Raw genomic sequence first — 20,646 nt, 5'->3', positions numbered from 1 at the left:
ATGAGAACTCACTCATTATCACGAGAACAGCAAAGGGGGAATCTTCCCCTATGATCCAATTACCTCCCACCAGGTTCCTCCCCCAACATTGGGAATTACAATTCAACATGAGATTTGGGTGGGGGAACAGAGCCAAACCATATCATAGGCCTTGGCAAAAATTTCATGATGAAGTCTTATCAGGGAACCTGCCCCGATATTCACGTAGGTTCTTTTCTATTTTCCTTAAGCATTTGACAGCTTGAGAAATAAAGGGACATAGTACAAAAGAGAGAAATTCTAAAGCTGGGTGTCCAGGGGAGACATCAGATGTCGGTAGGTTCCGTGATGCTCCACAAGCCGCAAAAACCAGCAAGTTTTTATTAGGGAGTTTCAAAAGGGGAGGGAGTGTGCGAATAGGTGTGGGTCACAGACATCAAGTACTTTACAAGGTAATAGAATATCACAAGGCAAGTGGAGGCAGGGCGAGATCACAGGACCACAGGACCACAGGACCGAGGCGAAATTAAAATTTCTAATGAAGTTTCGGGCACCATTGTCATTGATAACATCTTACCAGGAGACAGGGTTTTTGAGATCAACCGGTCTGACCAAAATTTACTAGGCGGGAATTTCCCCTTCCTAACAAGCCTGGGAGCACTATGGGAGACTGGGGTCTATTTCACCCCTGCAGCCTCAACCATAAGACGCGACCACGCCCAGGGGGGCCAGTTCAGAGACCCACCCCCAGGTGCGCATTCTCTTTCTCAGGGATGTTCCTTGCTGAGAAAAAGAATTCAGCAATATTTCTCCCATTTGCTTTTGAAAGAAAAGAAATATGGCTCTGTTCTGCCCGGCTCACCGGCAGTCAGAGTTTAAGGTTACCTCTCTTGTTTCCTAAACATTGCTGTTATCCTGTTCTTTTTTCAAGGTGCCCAGATTTCATATTGCTCAAACACACATGCTGTACAATTTGTGCAGTTAATGCAATTATTACAGGGTCCTGAGATGATATACATCCTCCTCAGCTGACAGGATTAAGAGATTAAAGACAGGCATAGGAAATCACAAGGGTTTTGATTGGGGTACTGATAAGTGTCCATGAAATCTTTACAATTTATGTTTAGAGATTGCAGCAAAGACAGGCATAAGAAATTATGAAAGTATTAATTTGGGGAACTAATAAATGTCCATGAAATCTTCACAATCCACATTCTTCTGCCATGGCTTCAGCTGGTCCCTCCATTTGGGGTCCCTGACTTCCCACAACAGTCTCCAGAAGCAATTTCAACAAAAATAAAAATTGACAACTGAGCTCTAATTAAACTAACAGGCTTTGCATGGCCAAAGAAACTATCAACAGAGTAAACAGACAACCTACAGAATTAGAGAAAATATTTGCAGCTGTGCATCCAGCAAGGTCTAACATCCATAATTTATAAGGAACTTAAATCAACAAGCAACAAAACAAACCACCCCATTAAAAAATGGGCAAGGGACATAAACAGACACTTCTCAAAGAAAGACATATGCAGGGACAACATCATATAAAAAAATGGGCCAGGTACAGTGGCTCACACCTGTAATCCCAGCACTTTGGGAGGCTGAGGCAGGTGGATCAGGAGGTCAGGAGTTTGTGACAAGCCTGGCCAATATGGTGGAACCCTGTGTCAACTACAAATACAAAAATTAGCTGGGCATGGTGGTGCGTGCCTGTGGTCCCAGCTTTTCAGGAGGCTGAGGCAGGAGAATCACTTAAACCTGGGAGGCGGAGGTTGCAGTGAGTCGAGATCACACCACTGCACTCCAACCTGGGTGACAGAGCAAGGCTACATCTCAAAAAAAGAAAAAAAAAGCCAACCATCACTAATCATTAGAGAAATGCAAATCAAAACCACAACAAAATATCACCTCACACAAGTCAGAATGGTTAGTATTAAAAGTCAGAAAATAACAAATGTTGTCAAGGTTGCAGAGAAAAGGGAACATTTATACATTGCTGGCAGAATTATAAATTAGTTCAACCACTGTGGAAAGCAGTTTGGAGATTACTCAAAGAACTTAAAACATAACTACCATTTCACCCACCAATCCCATTACTGGGTATATACTCAAAGGTATATAGAATGTTCAACCAAAAAGACACATGCATGTGTATGTTCATTGTAGCCCTATTTGCATTTGCAAATGCATGGTATCAATCTAGATTATCATCATTGGTGGAATGCATAAAGAAAATGTACTACATATACACTATGGAATAGTATGCAGCCTTAAAAAATGAAATCATGTCCTTTGCAGCAACATGGATGGACATGGACAAAATGATCCTGAGTTAATGCAGAAACAGAAAACCAAATATCAGATGTCCTCACTTACAAGTGGGAGCTATATATTGAGTACACATGTACATAAACAGGACAACAACAGACACAGCACCTACCTGATGGTGGGTGGTGGAATGAGGGCAAGGGTTAAAAATATCTACTGAATATTATGCTCAACACCTGCGTAATGAAATCATTTATACTCCGAACCCCAGCAACACGCAATTTACCCATGTAACACACCTGCACATGCACCCCCTGAACCTCAAATAAAAGCTGAAAAAGAAAAAAATGATAAAAATAAGCTGACTCATTGATTCTTATACTCGTATTATAATAACATATGTAGATATATTAGTATTAATTTATTTGTTCTATTATTGGCCATTTAGATTATTTCATTTTTGCTATTATAAACAATGCCACAATAAGCATTCTTACACCTATTACTTTTGATTATTTATGCTAGAATCTTTTAGGTATATATCTAGAACAGCAATCACTTGGTCATAAAGCATGTTGCTTGTTGTCTAAAATTTGTATCTCTACAATAGTAAGATATTCTGCACTCCTCTCATCAATTACTGTTTTCGGAGATTTAAACTTTTGCTAACCTGGTAAATATGAAGTGGTATTTTCTTGTGTCACTAATTTTTATTTTTTGATTACTATTAATCAAAAAATGCAGAGATATCTCTGCATAAGGTGGTGCATATTTCATTAAGTCTATTGGGCTTTATGGCATCTTTATCAGAGTGGGTTTAAAATGTGTCTACAAAGTTTTTTGCACACCTTTTAAAAGATAGAGAATAATTTTTCTCCCCTTGAGGGTGTGCTAGATTTTGTGACTCACTCTTTATTAATAGAAAAATAGAGGAAGTTCTGCTCCTTCATAGAATAGGTCCTATCTGTCACTGTGGTTTCCTGCTTGTGTGCTATCTTGATTCCCCCGGTGGCAAGGAAAGGGGGACAGAAGCAGCTGCCACATACTGAGTACACTCAAGCAGCATGTGAAGTCTATGTGGATAAAAACTGAGACTTTTTGACAGTAAACAGCAAACAATGGACACCTCTTGCCAAGAACTAGCAAGAAACTGAGGCTTTCTTCCAATAGCCACATGGATGAGCCATCTTGGAAGTAGATCTTCCATTCCTGGTCAAAGTTCAGACGACTCTAGGCCTGGTTGGTGTCTTGCCTGAAACCTCATGAAAGACACTGAGCCAGAACCACTCAGCTAAGACCCTTACAAATTCCAGACCAAGGAAAAGATTGACTTAATAAATAATTGCTTATGATTTTAAGCAATTTGTTTTGGGACAACTTCTTATGCAAAAATACAGCTTTTTAAACAGCCACATCAGAGATCTGTTTGCTTCTATCTTCACTCAACTTTACATTGGATTATTTTTCTTTCTCTAGTTTATTTCCTGGAATTATAAAAAAAGCTATTGGAGATACTGATGAAAATAACTTCCAGTCTGAACTTCTTTCCAAGTTTTTCTATGGAGTGCTTTGTTATGTAAAGTTATTGATTTTGATTAATTCAAACATCGACGTTTTATCATACTGTTATTAGTGGTTTTAAGTCTAGGGTAAGAAAACTTTCCTGGAACAACTAACTAATAAGTATATTTTTATTTCCTTTTAAATGCTTAAATTTTTGTTTATAATATGTGGCTGCTTAATCCGTCTGGAATTGTGTGTCTTTGTGTGGGCCTGGGGGTAAGTTATACATCTAATTCTTTTCATACATGTAGCTATTTAAAATTATTTCCAAACTGATATATCCTTTTCTGCTTGATTTTAAATGCCATTCCTGTCATATGCCATTACATCTATATGTTATACACACATATGTAGCATATATAGATGTTTTTTATTATCTATTATCTTTCATTGTTTATTTTCTATATTTGTATGAAGAGCACCCAATTTTATTACTTAAATTTTCAATAAATATTGATATTTACATAAGTAAAACATCCCCACATTATATGCATTACTCAAAGTTTTCTTAGCTCATATTGACTTTTTCCCTTTCCATATAAATCTCATCAGTATTCTGATTTGTGATTTATTGTTTATAAATTAATTTTAAAAGAATTAACATATTTGTATAGAGTGTTTTCCTATCCCTCCGTGAACATTATGTAGATATGTCATTGTTGTATTATTTTATCTATTTCTATTGAATTAGATTTTATCCATAAGCACCTTGAATATCTTTCAGTAATATTTATTCATAAAAAGTTTGTAATTTTATTACCATTTGAGAAGTTCTTTTTAATTACATGCCACCTTTGAAAAATTGCATTTTCCAGCAGATTATTAATTTGTGTAAGTTGATACTGTTTTGAGCAAGCTCACTGTCCTCTATTATTTATTTTAATATTTTGCTCTGTGGATTCCATTGATTTCTAAGATTGCAAGTTCTGCAATCCTGAAGGGGGCTCCCTAGATGTGATGCTTCTGATGTTTTATATCTCTGAGCTTATTTTATCTTCTTAAAATTAAGATTCTATCAGATGAAGAGGAAATGAGGAAACCAAAGGGGAACATAACCTTGACTTTGGGTTTATGAAGGCGTCCCCACTCCATGTAATTAAAATTGTCTTAAACCCTTCTAATCCAATCTTTTTTTTTTGGATTCACAATATATTACTGAAATCTGCTGACTTCATATTTTAGTAAAGAATTTCCTCTGGCCCAAAGAAAAAACTTAGCCACCAAGGCAATTGGAGGCATTTGGACAGCTATAGAGGTTTTTCCTATTACTTCTATTGAGAATAATGGTTTCACCCAAGATAGTTGCCTAATAATATAATGATGAATAAAAATTAAATTCAAGAAAATTAAATTTAGTGTCCTCAAATTTTGTGAAAGAGAAATCAGTAAGTAAATTGCTATTCTATGTTTGAAGATAAAACTAAATTTTATATTGCACATTTAGCACTTATACTTTTCAAAGCTATTTATACAAGATATCATCAGAAGTTTTGATTCACACGTGGATGTGGAAACAAAGACAAAATTATTGATAAGACTTGGTCCAATATGCATGATTTGTAAAAGGGAAGGTGATAATTTAATTCCAGGTCTAAGCTGGACATGGTGGCATGTGCCTGTTATCCCAGCACTTTGGGATGCCAAGACAGGAGGATCACTTGAGGCCAAGAGTTCAAAATCAACCTGGGCATCATATCAAGGCACTGTTTCTACAAAAAATTAAAAAAAATAGACAGGCACAGTGATGCACACCTGCAGTCCTAGCCAGTCAGGAGGCTGAGGGAAGAGGATCACTTATGCTCAGGAGTTCAAGGTTAGAGCGAGCTATGGTTGCAACACTGCACTCTAGTCTGAGTGACAGATTCTGTCACTAAAAATAAAAAAATTAATAAACAAATCCCAGCCTAGTGGGATGAAGATGCGGTTTTTTTCCCTTTTATTTACTTACTGATTATGTTTATTACAACTCTATTTATAATTGTACCAAAAGAAGAAAAAACAAACATTTGCAACACAAGAAAAATGATTAAATGTTTATTGTACATTCCTATAAAATTTATTATTATTATTATTATTATTAGTAGTAGTAGTAGTAGTATTTTGCTTTTGGGGTGGTTACCAGAGGCTGAAAAGGGTAGTACGCAGGGAAGAAAAAGGGATAGTTAATGGGTATGAAAATATGGATAGACAGATAGAATGAATAGGATCTAGTATTTGACAGTACAACAGAGTGACTACAGTCAACAATAATTTATTGTACATTGAAAAATAACTAAAAGAACATACTTGGATTGTCTGTAGCATAAAGTATAAATGCCTGAGATGATGGATACCTCATTTACCCTGATGTGCTAATTATTCATTGCATGCCTGTATCAAAATACCTCATGTACTCCATAAGCGTCTGTTCTCATGCTACTATGAAGAAGTATTTGAGACTGGGTAATTTATTTTAAAAAGAGGTTTAATTGACTCACAGCTCCACATGGCTGAGGAGGCCTCAGGAAACTTACAATCATGGTAGAAGACAACTCTTCACAAGGTGGCAGGAGAGAGAATGAGTGCCAAGTGATGGAGAGCCCCTTATAAAACCATAATATCTCATGAGAAGTTACTATCAGGAGGACAGCATGAAGGAAACCACCCCCACGATTCAATTATCTCCACCTGGTCTCACCATTAACATGTAAGAATTACTACAATTCAAGGTGAGATTTGGGTGAGCACACAGAGCAAAACCATATCATTCCACCCTTGGCCCCTCCCAAATCTCATATTCTCACATTTCAAAACACAATCATGCCTTCCAAACAGTCCCCCATAGTCTTAACTTATTCCAGAATTTGCCCAAAAGTCCAAGTTCAAAGTCTCAGATGAGACAAGACAAGTTCCTTCTGCCTATGAGCCTGTAAAATCAAAAGAAAGTTAGTTACTTCCTAGATACAATGAGGGTATAGGCATTGGTTAAATACACCCATTCTGAATGGGAGAAATTGGCCAAGACAAAAGGGCTACAGGCCCCATGCAAGTCCAAAAATCTAACTGGGGAGTCATTAAACCTTAAAGTTCCAAAATGATCCCCTTTGACTCCATGCCTCACACCCAGGTCACATTGATGCAAGAGGTGGGCTCCCACAACCTCAGGCAGCTCCACTCCTGTGGCTTTGAAGGGTACAGTCCCCCTGTCAGCTGCTTTCATGGGCTGACATTGAGTGCCTGTGACTCTTCCAGGCACACTGTGCAAGCTGTTGATGGATCTACCATTCTGGAGTCTGGAGGATGGTGGCTCTCTCCTCACAGCTCTACTAGGCAGTGGCCCAGTAGGGACTCTGTGTGGGGGCTCCAACACCACATTTCCCTTCTGCAATGCCCCAGCAGGAGTTCTCCATGAGGGCTCTGTCCCTGCAGCAAACCTCTGCCTGGATATCCAGGCATTTCTATACATCCTCTGAAATCTGGGCAGAGGTTCCCAAACCTCAATTCTTGTCTTCTGTGTACCCACAGGCACAGCACCACGTGGAAGCTGCCAAGCAAGGGGGCTTGCACCCTCTGAAGTAATGGTCTGAGCTGTACATTGACCCCTTTTAGCCATGGCTGGAGCTGAAGCAGCTGGGATACTGGGCCCTATGTCCCGAGGCAGCATAGAGTAAGGGGGACCCTGGGACAGGCTCACAAAACCATTTTTTCCCTCCTAGGTCTCTGGACCTGTGATGGGAGAGGCTGCTGTGAAGTTCTCTGATATGTCCTGGAGACATTTTCCCCATTGTCTTGGTGACTAACATTCAGCGTCTTGTTACTTATGCAAAATTCTGCAGAGGGCTTGAATTTCTCCTTAGAAAATAGGTTTTTCTTTTCTATCACATGGTCAGGCTGCAAATTTTCCAAACATTTATGCTCTGCTTCCTATTGAACACTTTGCCACTTAGAAATTTCTTCCACCAGATATCCTAAATCATCTTTCCCAAGTTCAAAATTCCACACATCTCTAGGGCACAGGCAATGTGCCACCAGTCTCTTTGCTAATGCATAGCAAGAGTCACCATTGCTTTAGTTCTTAAGAAGTTTCTCATCTCTATCTGAGACCACCTTGGTGTTGACTTCATTCTCCATATCACTAGCAGCATTTTGGTCAAAGCCATTCAACAAATCTCTAGAAAGTTCCAAAGTTTTCCACATCTTCCTGTCTTCTTCTGAGGCCTCCAAAGTGTTCCAACCTCTGCCTGTTCCAAAGTTGCTTCCACATTTTCAGATATCTTTATGGCAGTGCCCTACTACCTGGTACCAATTTACTATATTACTCCATTCTCATGCTGCTATGAAGAAATACTGGAGATTGGGTAATTTATATATATATATATATATATATATATATATTTTTTTTTTTTTTTTTTTTTTGAGATGGAGTCTCGCTCTGTCGCCCAGGCTGGAGTGCAGTGGCGGGATCTCGGCTCACTGCAAGCTCCGCCTCCCGGGTTCACGCCATTCTCCTGCCTCAGCCTCCCAAGTAGCTGGGACTACAGGCGCCCGCCACTACGCCCGGCTATTTTTTGTATTTTTAGTAGAGACGGGGTTTCACCGTTTTAGCCGGGATGGTCTCGATCTCCTGACCTCGTGATCCGCCCGCCTCGGCCGGGTAATTTATATTAAAAAGTTTTAATTGACTCACAGTTCTGCATGACTGGGGGGGCCTCAGGAAACATAATCACGGTGGAAGGCACCTCTTCACAGGGCAACAGGAGAGAGGTTGGGTGCCAAGCGAAGGGGGGGCCCCTCATAAAACCATCGAATCTTGCAAGAACTCACTCACTATCACAAGAACAGCACTGGGGAAACTTCCCCCATGGTTTAATTATCTCCACATTGTCCAGCCCTAGAATGGGAATTATTACAATTCAAGGTGAGATTTGGGTGGGGACATAGAGCTAAATTGTATCAGTATATACACCTACTATGTACCCACAAAAATTAAATTTAAAAAATGTAAAGATACAGATTTTATTCATTGCACCCTGCTACCTTACCTACTGTGATACTGTGAAGGACAGTGCCTTTCTGTGATACTAAGGCAGTAAATTAATCTGCCTTTTTCAATATAATATATTAAATTTATTACAAATACTTAGAAAGTAGAGGTACAAGTACAAGATAAAGAGTGATAAAAACAGTGTGGATCAGCCTCTTTCCATTCTCAACCCACAACTATCCATTTATTCAGTCACGGGGTCCAAGGCACAAACCCAAAGCCAAGTATTTGATTGAGTATATTTTACTTTTCCAACAGACTTCATGTGCTAATTTGCTATCATAACATTTGATCCTTTAAAACACAGGTCAAAAGTATATGTTTATAATTAAACTCAAGTCTGAGGGCCAGGATTTATTTACTATATAATATAATTATAGAAAAATAATAATGAATTTGCATAAAATATTTATAAGACATAAAAATTATATATGTATTTGTGTTTTTTAAAAATGGACTGAAACTGGACATGAGTTTTTAGTAGCCTAATGTGACTATTTCTCTAGTCATCTACTTTTAAATTTATAAACAAAGAACATACAATGTCATTACAGTGAGGGTACAACATATATGACAACAAGTATGCAAAATGATGTCAAGGATAAAAGTAGGGGTTATAGAGGCAGAAAGCCTGGCTCTGTCACTCACTAGCTGTGTGACCTTGGATGAACTACTTAAACTTCCTATGCTTCTGTTTCCTTATCAGTAAAATGGAGATAATAATAATGCCTTTTTTATAGAAATATTATAAGAATAAAATGAACAAATTAATGCAAAATTATTAGGACTATGGCATATAAAAAGCACTTAATAACTGGTAGCTATTGACTATTATGTCTATTAATGTGTTGTTTATATGGGTCCAGTTAAGAAGAGAAGTTGAGTATTTGGGGAAGATCAGGAGTACAGCGTGAAAGAATCATGGGTGGAAAAGTGAAAGACATTGTAAAGAGATACACAGAAAAATAAGAAGAAAAAATATTTTTTAAAAAGATGGTAGAGAAAATGATAAATAGGGGGCAACTCTTCTGAATTATCACTAGAGTACAGTAGAACCTTGATCATGGGGTTAGGGCTATCAACCCCTCCCCATAGCTGAAAATCCACATATAGCTTTTGAGTGCCCCCAAATTAAACTACTAATAGACTACTGTTGACTGGACACCTTATTGATAACATAACAGCCAATTAATGCATATTTTGTATATGCATTATATACTGTATTCTTACAATAAAGCTAGGAAAATGTTACTAAGAAAATTATAAGAAAGAAGATATATTTACTATTTATTAATTGGAAGTAGATTAACATAAAGATCTTCATTCTCATTATCTTCACCTTAAGAAGGGTTAGAAGGAAGAGGAAGTAGAGGGGTTGGTCTTGCTGACTCAGTGCTGGCAGAGGCAAAAGATGTAGAGGAGGTGGAAGGGGAGGCAGGAGAGGCAGGCACATTTGGTTGGAACTTTGCAGAAATACATCATAATTTCTGTCTGACTTTTTGTGTTTCATTTCTCTAAAATGTTTCTATATAGTGCCAATCCTTCCATCATTTGCTTTAGTTTCAGTGCCCATATTATAGAAGGGTCCATATCATATAAGAAATAAAAAACAGTCTTGAATAATCATAGCCCTTCTGCCAGATTGTCTAATGTCAATTTGTTTCCTGGCATTGCTTCTTGTACTTCTTTCTGATCTCCTGGCACTCGTTAGCAGGCACTCATCTTTATCAAGTTGTCTCCTGTTAAGTCGTCTGTTATTAGCTCTTGAATTTCTTGGAAGATTGTATGTCTTGAAACTCTTCACCCCTCACCCTTTTTTTGCCATATCCACAAACTCTTTCATGATTTTCTTGAATGGCTGTCCTAAGTCCTATGAAGTTTTGCACAACATCAGGGCAGTTTCTCCAGCAGGAATTTATTGTTTTAGATCTGAAGGTCTTCACAGGTTTTTCTATAATAATGATGGCATCTTCAATGGTGTAACACTTCCAGACTTACATGATGTTCTATCTATCAGTACTCTCTTTCAAAGCATTGACAAATCTTTCCATAGGGTACCGTGTGTAATGAGCCTTAAAGTTCCTTATGATCTCCTGATCTAGAGACTGAATTAGAAATGTCGTGTTTGGGGGCAAGTAGGCCACTTCAGTGACTTTGGTGTTGAACTCCTCGCGTTCTGGATGGCCAGAGGCATTGTCCAATATCAAAAAATGTAAAAGGCAGCCCCTTCCTGGCAAGTCACTTCCTGACTGCAGGAACAAAGTATCAGGGAAATCAATCCAGAAAAGTGTTCTCACTGGCCAGGCCTTCTTCTTGTACAACCAAAAGCCTGGCAACTGGTATTCATCTTTTCCATTCAAGACTCAGAGTCAGAAGTTTTATAGATAACGCCAGTCCTGATCACAAACCTGACTGCATTTGCACAAAATAGTAGAGTTAGCCTATCTCTTTCTGCCTTAAATCCTGGTGCTCACTTCTCTTCCTCACTGATAAATGACCCATGTGGCATGTTTTGTTTTGTTTTGTGTTCTGAAATATGGCACTTTCATCTGCATTAAAAATCAGTTCAGGCAGATGTCCCTTCTCCACGATTATTTCTTTCATGACATCTGAGAACTGGTCAGCTGATTCTTGGTGGGCAGAAGCAGCTTTTCCTGTTATCTTGACATTTTTAAAACTGAACCTCTTCTAAAATTATGAAGCCATCCTTTGTTGGCATCAAATTCTCCAGCTTTAGATTCTTTACCTCCCTTTTAAGTTGTCATATGATGACTTTGCTTTATCTTGAATCATATTAAAATGTATACATATACCTTTCTTATAGAAACCCTGCACCCGCAAAAAGCAAAAGCTGCATTTTCAATATGAGATAAAAAGATATTTCACAAAACATGCAAGGTTTTCACATCTGCTGGCATAGCTGCAGTAACACCTTCATGAATTACCTTTTCTTCTTTTTTGAAGTAGTTCTTATGCTATATTCATTTATCTCGAAATGGTGGTCAACCACAGTTGCAGATCTCAATTTATGGTACACATATCAAGCAATTCAACTTTTTCTTGTAACGTTACAACTTTTCTCTGCTTCTTGGGAGCACTTTCAGCATCACTAGTGTACTTTGTATAGGTCCCATGATGTTATTCAAGTTTTATGGTATTGCTCTAATCAAATATGCAAGAACCATGAGAGATCACTTTTTACTGTGATACACAATTTGCTGGAGAAACAGTTGCTTACATGGAAATGATTGGTGTCACATGGCATTTTAACCAGTTTGCAACACTTGAGCTCATACAAGAGATGGCTACAAAATTATTACAGTAGTACTGTATGTGCTACACTTAACTTTATACAGTTATAATTTAATACTACCTCTTTATGCTTGTTTACATTTCTGTCAACTGTGAATAGTATTATATGCAATCTGTAGGTGTGTGCATAAATTTTATAAATTTTAATGTTTTATAATAAATGTATGTATATTTTTTATGGTAATGAATGAGTATCCACATATATTTTATATATTCATGACATATATTTTCTAAATTTTTTCAGTATTTCCAGGTTGTATACTTTTTTCTAATTGTTTTTTTCTAATTGTTTACAAATCTCCAATTTTTTTCTAATATATTTATTGGAAAAAGATCCATATATAAATGGACACACAGAGTTTAAATCCATGTTGTTCAAAGATCAGCTGTATGTATTTTCTCATTTCCTAGGGCTATAAGCCATGGATGCTGAGGAAGGAATGTGAGCATTTTTTCCCACATGTTTTGATTTGCTTATTAGTTTGTTACCCTTTCTTCACAGATTTTGATTTTACCCATGTCTATACTCTGGATTCAATAATCACAAGGGAAAGGCTATGCTGTGAGCTTTAGCTTTAGATGATGGAAGATCATGTTAGCTGGATATGGAATATAGACACACATCCATGTACATGTTTGCACATACACAGTGGTCAATATATGCCGATATATTTTTAAATATAATATCTATGGTCTAAACTACTTAAAAAGACCACTGTCTTCATCACTGAGTAATGAAAACCAAGAGAACATTTTACATCTGTGTAAAAATACAAAGCTGGCTATTAAAAAAGTAATAATTTAGTTTCTCTCTAATTCACTGAAGCCAGTCACACAGAATGTCAGCACACCAGTCATGGAAAGAATAATTCTGTGAGTTGACTACCAATATAGCACTTTCAAAGGTTCGCATGAAACCTGATTTTTCGGGCAAAAACTGTGCTAATATTCCAGTAGACTCTGAGTTCCACTCCTATATTATAAGATGATTAAAACTGAAATTGAACTACCTAGGCCTCTTTATCTCAATCTCTGGAAAAAATGCCTCCACTGATTTATCACGTAGCATCGCTCTTTCAGCCTATGCACATAATCTTTACAAGAATGATTCTTTTGATCCCAACATTACATAGTACAAAGAAGTCATTATTCACTTTGTCACATGCACAAAAAATCTTTAGGTACATTCTAGTTTGTGTTTGTTCCCAGGAAAAATATAGCTCTGAAGATAAATGTCTTACATTTCTGCCACCTAACACAGATAATATATAAGTGCTTTCCTTTTATTTTCTTGTGCTCTGAGTAACTAGCTTAAAGATTGCTCATATAAATGCAATTACGGAGGCTTAGGAATTGTTTTTCTTATATTTTTCTATGTTGTTTTTCTGTTTCACAATCTATCATCTTATATTACATACTTCTTAATTGAGTAAGGTTTATTTGGATGTTAGTGGCACATAAATTCTAAGGTTAGTCAAATATTTTAACATTTTGTTTCAATTTGTGGAACTTCAAAAATTAGCCTGAAAATAGAAAAATATCTTATTTGAGATAGATAGTAAGAACCTAATTAAACATTTTAAATATTCCATTTGATTTCATTGAATATGTTAAAGATAAATTATATACAACATATTTTCTTTAAAACCTTGTGGCATTTTTATTAATTTGTGAACTGGATATATTATATGTGACTTTAACTCCTTGATTTGTTATGCTTATATTTAAGAAGTTCAAATAATTTTGAGTTTCTAGATGGATACTAAGATTCAGTAATAACTTTAGCTGGGAAAATATGGTCTCTTGTTTGCTGACACATTTTCACTTGACACTGAAAATTTGACACTGGTAGCTGAATATAAAATTCCTCAAACTTTGTATACTACTAAACTAATATATCACTCTTGTAGTTATCAGTGATGATGGTAGTTCTACCAGTCCATAACAAATTACCCTTAAACTTAATGGCTTAAAACAACAAATATCTATTACCTCATAGTTTCTGTGACTCAGGAATTTGGGAGTGCCTATAGGCTAGAGGGCTCTCATAAAGTTGCTAACAGGATGTCAGTCTCCGTTGCAATTATCTGGAGACTTAACTAGGGCAACAGGATCCATTTCCATGATTACTAATGTGGCTGTTGGCAGCAGGTCTCAGTTCCTTGCTGGCATTGGCCAGAAGCCTCAGTTCTCTGTCACATGATCTGCTCCATAAGGGGGTTCAAGTGTACTCACAAAGTAATAGCTGACCTCCCCCAGTGTGGGTGATCCAAGAGAGAAGCTGACTTCATATTGTCTTTTATGACCTGACTTACACACCAGCACTTTTACTGCAAGACATTCATGAAGAAAGAGTCATTAAATCCAGTTCATACTCAAAAGAGGTGGAAACTAAACTTTACTCTTTGAAAGGAGCAATGTCAAAAAACTTATAAATATGTTTTTAAAACTCCACAATTTGCCCTCTGCCTGCAATTTATTTTACATTTATATCATATTTAAAATATACTTCTCCTTTTTGAAGACTCTCCGAAGTCCTATATTTGTACAGCATCTGCTTAAAGTCTAAATCACATCCAGGTACAGACGGCGGTCCTTGGGGGCAGCTTCTTATTTTTGGCTCGTAGAGTTAAGTTTTAGAGCTGTAAAATCAACAGGCAATATAACCTCCCTATTCCACATGATATCATGGGAAGATAAGCATAGTGTAAACACTGTAGACATTACTGTTCAGAAAGCAAGGGAAAGGGAGGCACGAAGGAATCATTTTGGTACTCTCTGGTAGTCACTGGCACATAGCAAATTGTATAGAAATTCCCACCAGAGAGCATCTGCTATGGAGGAGGCACTAAACCATCAAGAGTCAGAATGACTGGAACAGTTGACGTCAGCTAGGCTTTCAGTGTGGCTATTCCAAGGCTGGTACTCAGGGCCTGAAGGGAGTATCTACAGTGGCAGATATGAAGGCTACAAACGAGCCCAGCAGCAAAGATTCAAAATTACCAAAGTTTATTTCGCTACTTCCACTACTGAATGTCTGACATGACAGCAACTGGGACCAATACTGTGCTCCTTGATATGGCATCATTTCTTAAGGATATCAACCATCCAATTGGGGAAAGTTAATTACAACAGACCCCTTTAACCATTGAGAGAGAATGATTTGACCTTGAACAGGATTGACATTTATTGTGGATATAAATTTTCCTTTCCTACCTTCAGGACCCCAGCCAGCTCCTTTTTAGAGAACTTAAAGGGGTTTTCCCACAACATGAGATCCTATAAAACATTGCCTTAGATCTTGCAGTTGACTTTACAGCAGTATAGATATTGCTATGGGCTCAGGACAATGAGATTCACTGGTCCTACTGCTTCATATCATCCAGAAGCTGCCAGTTTTATAGTTGGATGAAGTAGCCTTTTGAAAGTACCACTAGGTGCCATTCTGCAAGTATGGTGCACTATCCTCCAGGGTGCACTTACACTCTGATACAACCATTACATAATGTTAGCTTCCCTGTAGGTAGAATACTTGGGTATGGGAACCAGACTTGAAGTAGGAATGTCTCTGCTGGACCTTATTATCAGTGACCCTGGACATTTTTGCTTTTTTTCAAAACTTTAGGCTCTGTAAATCTGCAGATCTGGGTTCCCAGAGGAAGGACGTATCCATCAGGTGAGAAACCTAGACCAGCAGAGGTAATAGCCGCAGATGAAGATAGTAAAGAAGAAAGCTAATGAAGATCAGTTAAAGCTTCAAGACCAGCAAAGGCTATATAGTTCAAGTCACCAACCTTCCTCTTACACATTATTAATAAATGATATCAATAAGAATCGTGCAGAAGCTGTACACAGAAGAAGTAAAGTTACTATAGGAAGCAATGCAAGGGATGACTTGTAGTGGATATTACTTTTATCACCCAGATCTCTCTTTCAGGACACTCATTCTCTTAGCTATCAAAAATCTAGGATTCTTAGCTTGATGGCCGATAGCTGCTACCCTCTCTGGTGCTTGCCCTAGACTTAATGGATTTGTGTTTCCACAAAAGTTACACTCCTTCACTACGGGCATAAGAGGTACAATAACTAGTCCTAACAGGGCCATGAAGGCTCTGGAAACTTGCCTCATCTTGAAACACCAGAAAGCCATTCCAGCTTCAGAGCTGCCCGGTGATTTGGCTGAGACCTCTGTGATAACTTAATCACAGTGCAACTTTTTATTTTCCCTTACTTCCAGGCATCATTCCTAAATGCAATCTTTAATGAACTTCTTTTACACAGTTCTTATTTGTTTATTTCCAGGAAACATTAACTAAAAGTCATCTTACTTGCTTAGTAAGTTATTGAGGTATTATAGGAGGAGGTGTAAAACCCACAGAGTTGGGTACTCAGAATGCTCTCTTTCAAAACTCTCACATAGAGTCTTTCACTTTCTCTCAGAGTCTTTCATACAAGACTATTCATACAAGATATTCTTGTTTGAATCTGTGAGGCTATACATAAGTACATGAGATGTGTATAAACACAGCATTTATATGATGTGTATATATATATCTTAGGTATATATTATGTATGCATGTATAATACATATAATATATAGATATACACACATATGTTTGTGATTAAACAAAACAATTTTGTAATGTGGAAGTAACATTTCTTCCATCTCTCTATTTTCTACATCCTAGGTAGAAATATAACTCTTTTCTTTTTAAAAATCATGAGTTTTCTGAAAGTCCAAAGTACAGAGGAGAGGTAATTCTGAACCAAGAGGACAGCTACACAGACATATATTTTTAAAAAACAGATTTCAATGATAAATTTTCTAATTATCTATGTTGTATTATCCAGTGCTCCAGTGTCCAATTTGGATATTAATTGAGCAAGTTTGGTCAGTCAATTGCTAGCTTTGGAACTAGATGAAACTCAATGGTAAGCATGGATCAAATCATCTCTTAAGTTCGCTGACTTAATTTGGTAAATTTTGGTGGCCAGCCAGTGTTTTTTGTTGTTGTTGCTGTTTGTTGGTTTGTTTTTGTTTTTTTTTTATAAGAAATCTAGGAAGAATAAGCAAAAGAAAATTAAACACCATCTCATTGAGCTATTAAGTTATCTAAGTTGTAGGGCCAACTCTTTCCCAATAGTAACAATGACAAGGTCCTAGCACAAGACAATATAGTAACAGCAGCTGGCCTTTGAATGCTTATAAGAAGCTGTTCAGATAGAGAACTACATGCTTCTAGTCAATGTCAAGCTGAGGAAACAGAATAAATTCTTACTTCTTTATCTCCATTCAAAAACCTTGATACAAACAACTAAAATGGTTCCGGGCACTTTGCTGGATTTTAGGTAATCTTTGCCTTTTTTACGGATGTGAAAAATGAGCTCTAAGGAAGTTAAGAAACTTGACCAAGTAAATGAACCAAACTGGTCAAGTTTAACAAAGATAAGTGTTTTTCACATTTAGAAAGTATTGAAAGTTGAGCAATTACTCAACAAATCTCAATTATTATGAGGTATCTGGACGACAATCTTTATCTCTGACTCTTTGTGGATTGTTTTTAATTTCATTTCATAAAAAATTATTAAGCAGCAAATATATTCAAAGTATATTGCTTATACTTAACTATTCCAGTAATGTTGATTTGTAAATTTCTTTTATATTTAATAAGATTTCCAAAACAAGACATGAAGCAACTTCATTTATTTTCCAATCATGCAAAATATTGGTATTCCTTAAACAAGTAAAAAGTGGAGATGAGCATGAAACCCAGGTTTGTCTAACCACAATCTCCTAGACTTTCTGCTCCACCAATTCTGATATTGCTCAGATTGCTACTTCTTAGTGCAAATATTCTCATTTGAGTGCTGATGTTTCACAAATAAAGCTTTTCTTTCCCTGGCCACTATACTTTGAAAATGAACTCAAAGAGGATTGAATAATGGTGACATTAAGATAGGACACTAGGGCTCCCTTCAACTTGCATTTTTAATAAAATCTCTTAGGCTCCCCATTTGTCCATTTATTACCCTTTGCTCACATAGTGTTCTAGGATTGATTAAGTCTGTTACATACTGAATGAACTAATTTATTAATCTAGCTACTTGCCCACCCTACCGGCCTATAAATCTATCATCATACTGAGAAGGATTAAAAACAAAACAAAACCTCAGAACGAGAAAAAAAAAATCAGACACTACAGGAATGTCTGAACAGGGAAGAAACCCCACAAAAAGTGTTTCCTGTGAATTTATGTCTTTAAGAAGATTACCTCTGGAGGGGTGTTGGTGCCTTTTTTCAGAGTAAGCAGTTGTGGGGCAGCTTAGGCTCACCTTTTGGCTTCTGGTTTCATTAAGAGCTCAGCACCCTGGGTGGAGAACTTGCTTGGCTGGTTGGTGCCTGAATAAGAAGAGCTTTGCTGTACTATGTGAAGGGAGGAGCCACGTATAACCTTGACCATGCAACTTTGGTCACTGAGAATCCCCCAAAATTTTGCAGTTGTTGTCCTTTGAAATCAACTTCATTCATATAAAATTTGCATACAATAAAATACAGCCATTTTAAGGGTACATTTTGAGGAGTTTTGACAAATATGTGCATATTTGGTATAAACACTATCACAAACAAGATATGCCATATTTCCATCACTTTGACAAGTTTTTTTATGCTGCCTTAGTCATTTCATCCATAGTCTAAACACAAAACAACCACGATGATGCTAAATTACTTTCATCTATTCTAGAACTACAGTACATGTGAATGAAAATGCTCAGGATATACTCTTTATGTCTTGCTATTTTTCTTAACAGGATGCTTTGAGATATATTCATGTGATTTTGTGTATTTGTATTTCATTTATTTTTACTGCTGAGTAGTATTTGACTGTGTGTATAACACAATTTGTTTAGCTGTTCCCTTGGTTTTGGACATTTTGATTGTTTCCAGTTGGGGCTATTATGAATCAAGCTGCTATGCACATGTGTGTATCAGTCTTTGAGGAGACATATATTTTCATTTTTCTTGGGTAAAAATCTAGGAATGTAACCACTGAGTCCTATGTAGATGTATTTCTAACTTTATAAAGTAATTGCTAAACTGTTTTCCGAAGTGGTTAATTTTACATTCCTACTAGAAATATGTGAGATAATAGTTGCATATACTGAGATAATACTATGTTTTTTCCCTTTAATCCATCAATATGTTCAATTACATTAATTTATTTCTTTAATGTTAACTCTTGCATTTTTGTAGATAATCTCACTTATCCTATTTATTTCCTTTGGAATATTAGTTTGTAGTTTTCTTTTATATTGATATCTTTGTCTTGTTTTGATAGCAAGAGATGATAAAATGATGAGAGGTTTCCACTCCTTCTCTATTTTCTGAAAGGACACTCATTTCTACCTTGGCAGGTCAATAGGATTCATCAATGATGCCATTTGGGCCCTGAATGTATTTTTATTATGAGTACAATATCTTTTCTCCCCTTTTTAAGTTAAAACTTAAAAATTATTCCTATTTATGAGATACAGAGTGATATTTCCATACATGTATACAATGTATAATAATCAAATCAGGGTAATTGGCATAACCCTCACCTTGAACATTTGTTATTTCTTCGTATTGTGAGCATTCAAAATCCTCTCTTCTAGCTTTTGAAAATATATTAATATGGTTTGAATATGTATCCTCTCCAAATCTCATGTTGAAATGTGGTCTCCAGTATTGGAGGTGGGGCCTGCTGAGAGGTATTTGGATCACAGGGGCAGATCCCTCATGAATGGTTGACATCATCCCCTTGGGGATAAGTGAGCTCTCACTCTGAGTTCACACAAAATCTGGTTTTGAAAAGTGTGCAGCACCTTCCCCTACATCTCTTGGTCCCAATCTTGACGTATGATGTGCCTATTCCTGCTTTGCCTTCTGCCATGAGCAACAGTTCCCTGAGGCCTCCCCAGAGGCCAAGCATATGCCAATGCCATGCTTCCTAAATAGCCTGCAGAACCATGAGCCAATTTAATCTCTTTTCTTCATAAATGACACAGCATCAGGTGTTTCTTTATAGCAACATGAGAATGGCTTAACACATATACACTAAATTGTTGTTAATCATATTCACTCTATAGTGCTACAGAACACTAGAACTTATTCCTCTCATCTAGGTGTAACTGTTAATTGACCTCTTCCCATCATCCCCTCCTTCTATCCTTCCCACCCTCTAATAACCACAATTCTACTTCTCAGTTTTCCTTAGCTCCCACAAACAAGGAAGAACAAGTTTGACCTCAATTTCTTTAATTGATATTGGACAGCATAGTTTTTTGTAATTCTTTCTGTTTCTTCAAAGTATTCATTCATTTCATTTAATCTGTCAAATCTATTGGCACAATGTTCATAATATCTTGCTGTCCTTTCAATGTCTGAAAATCATAGTAATATCCCTATGATACTAGGTATGTCAGACCTAATATTAGTAATTTGAGTTTCTCTATTTTTC

At 36.9% G+C, this 20,646-nt stretch overlaps 1 annotated feature.

Moving 5' to 3' along the window:
• Positions 18,439 to 18,628: a silencer, noted in NCBI's record as "fragment chr3:190686471-190686660 (GRCh37/hg19 assembly coordinates)". NCBI's record gives its function as "represses an EF-1alpha promoter that drives an FKBP-Casp9 reporter gene in an ReSE screen in phorbol 12-myristate 13-acetate-treated (for megakaryocytic differentiation) K562 erythroleukemia cells {active_cell/tissue: K562(+PMA)}" and the evidence as "EXISTENCE:reporter gene assay evidence [ECO:0000049][PMID:32094911]".

Source organism: Homo sapiens, chromosome 3, assembly GCF_000001405.40.
Source record: "Homo sapiens chromosome 3, GRCh38.p14 Primary Assembly".
Lineage (NCBI taxonomy): Eukaryota > Metazoa > Chordata > Mammalia > Primates > Hominidae > Homo > Homo sapiens.
This window is presented reverse-complemented; position numbering and strand designations above follow the sequence as displayed.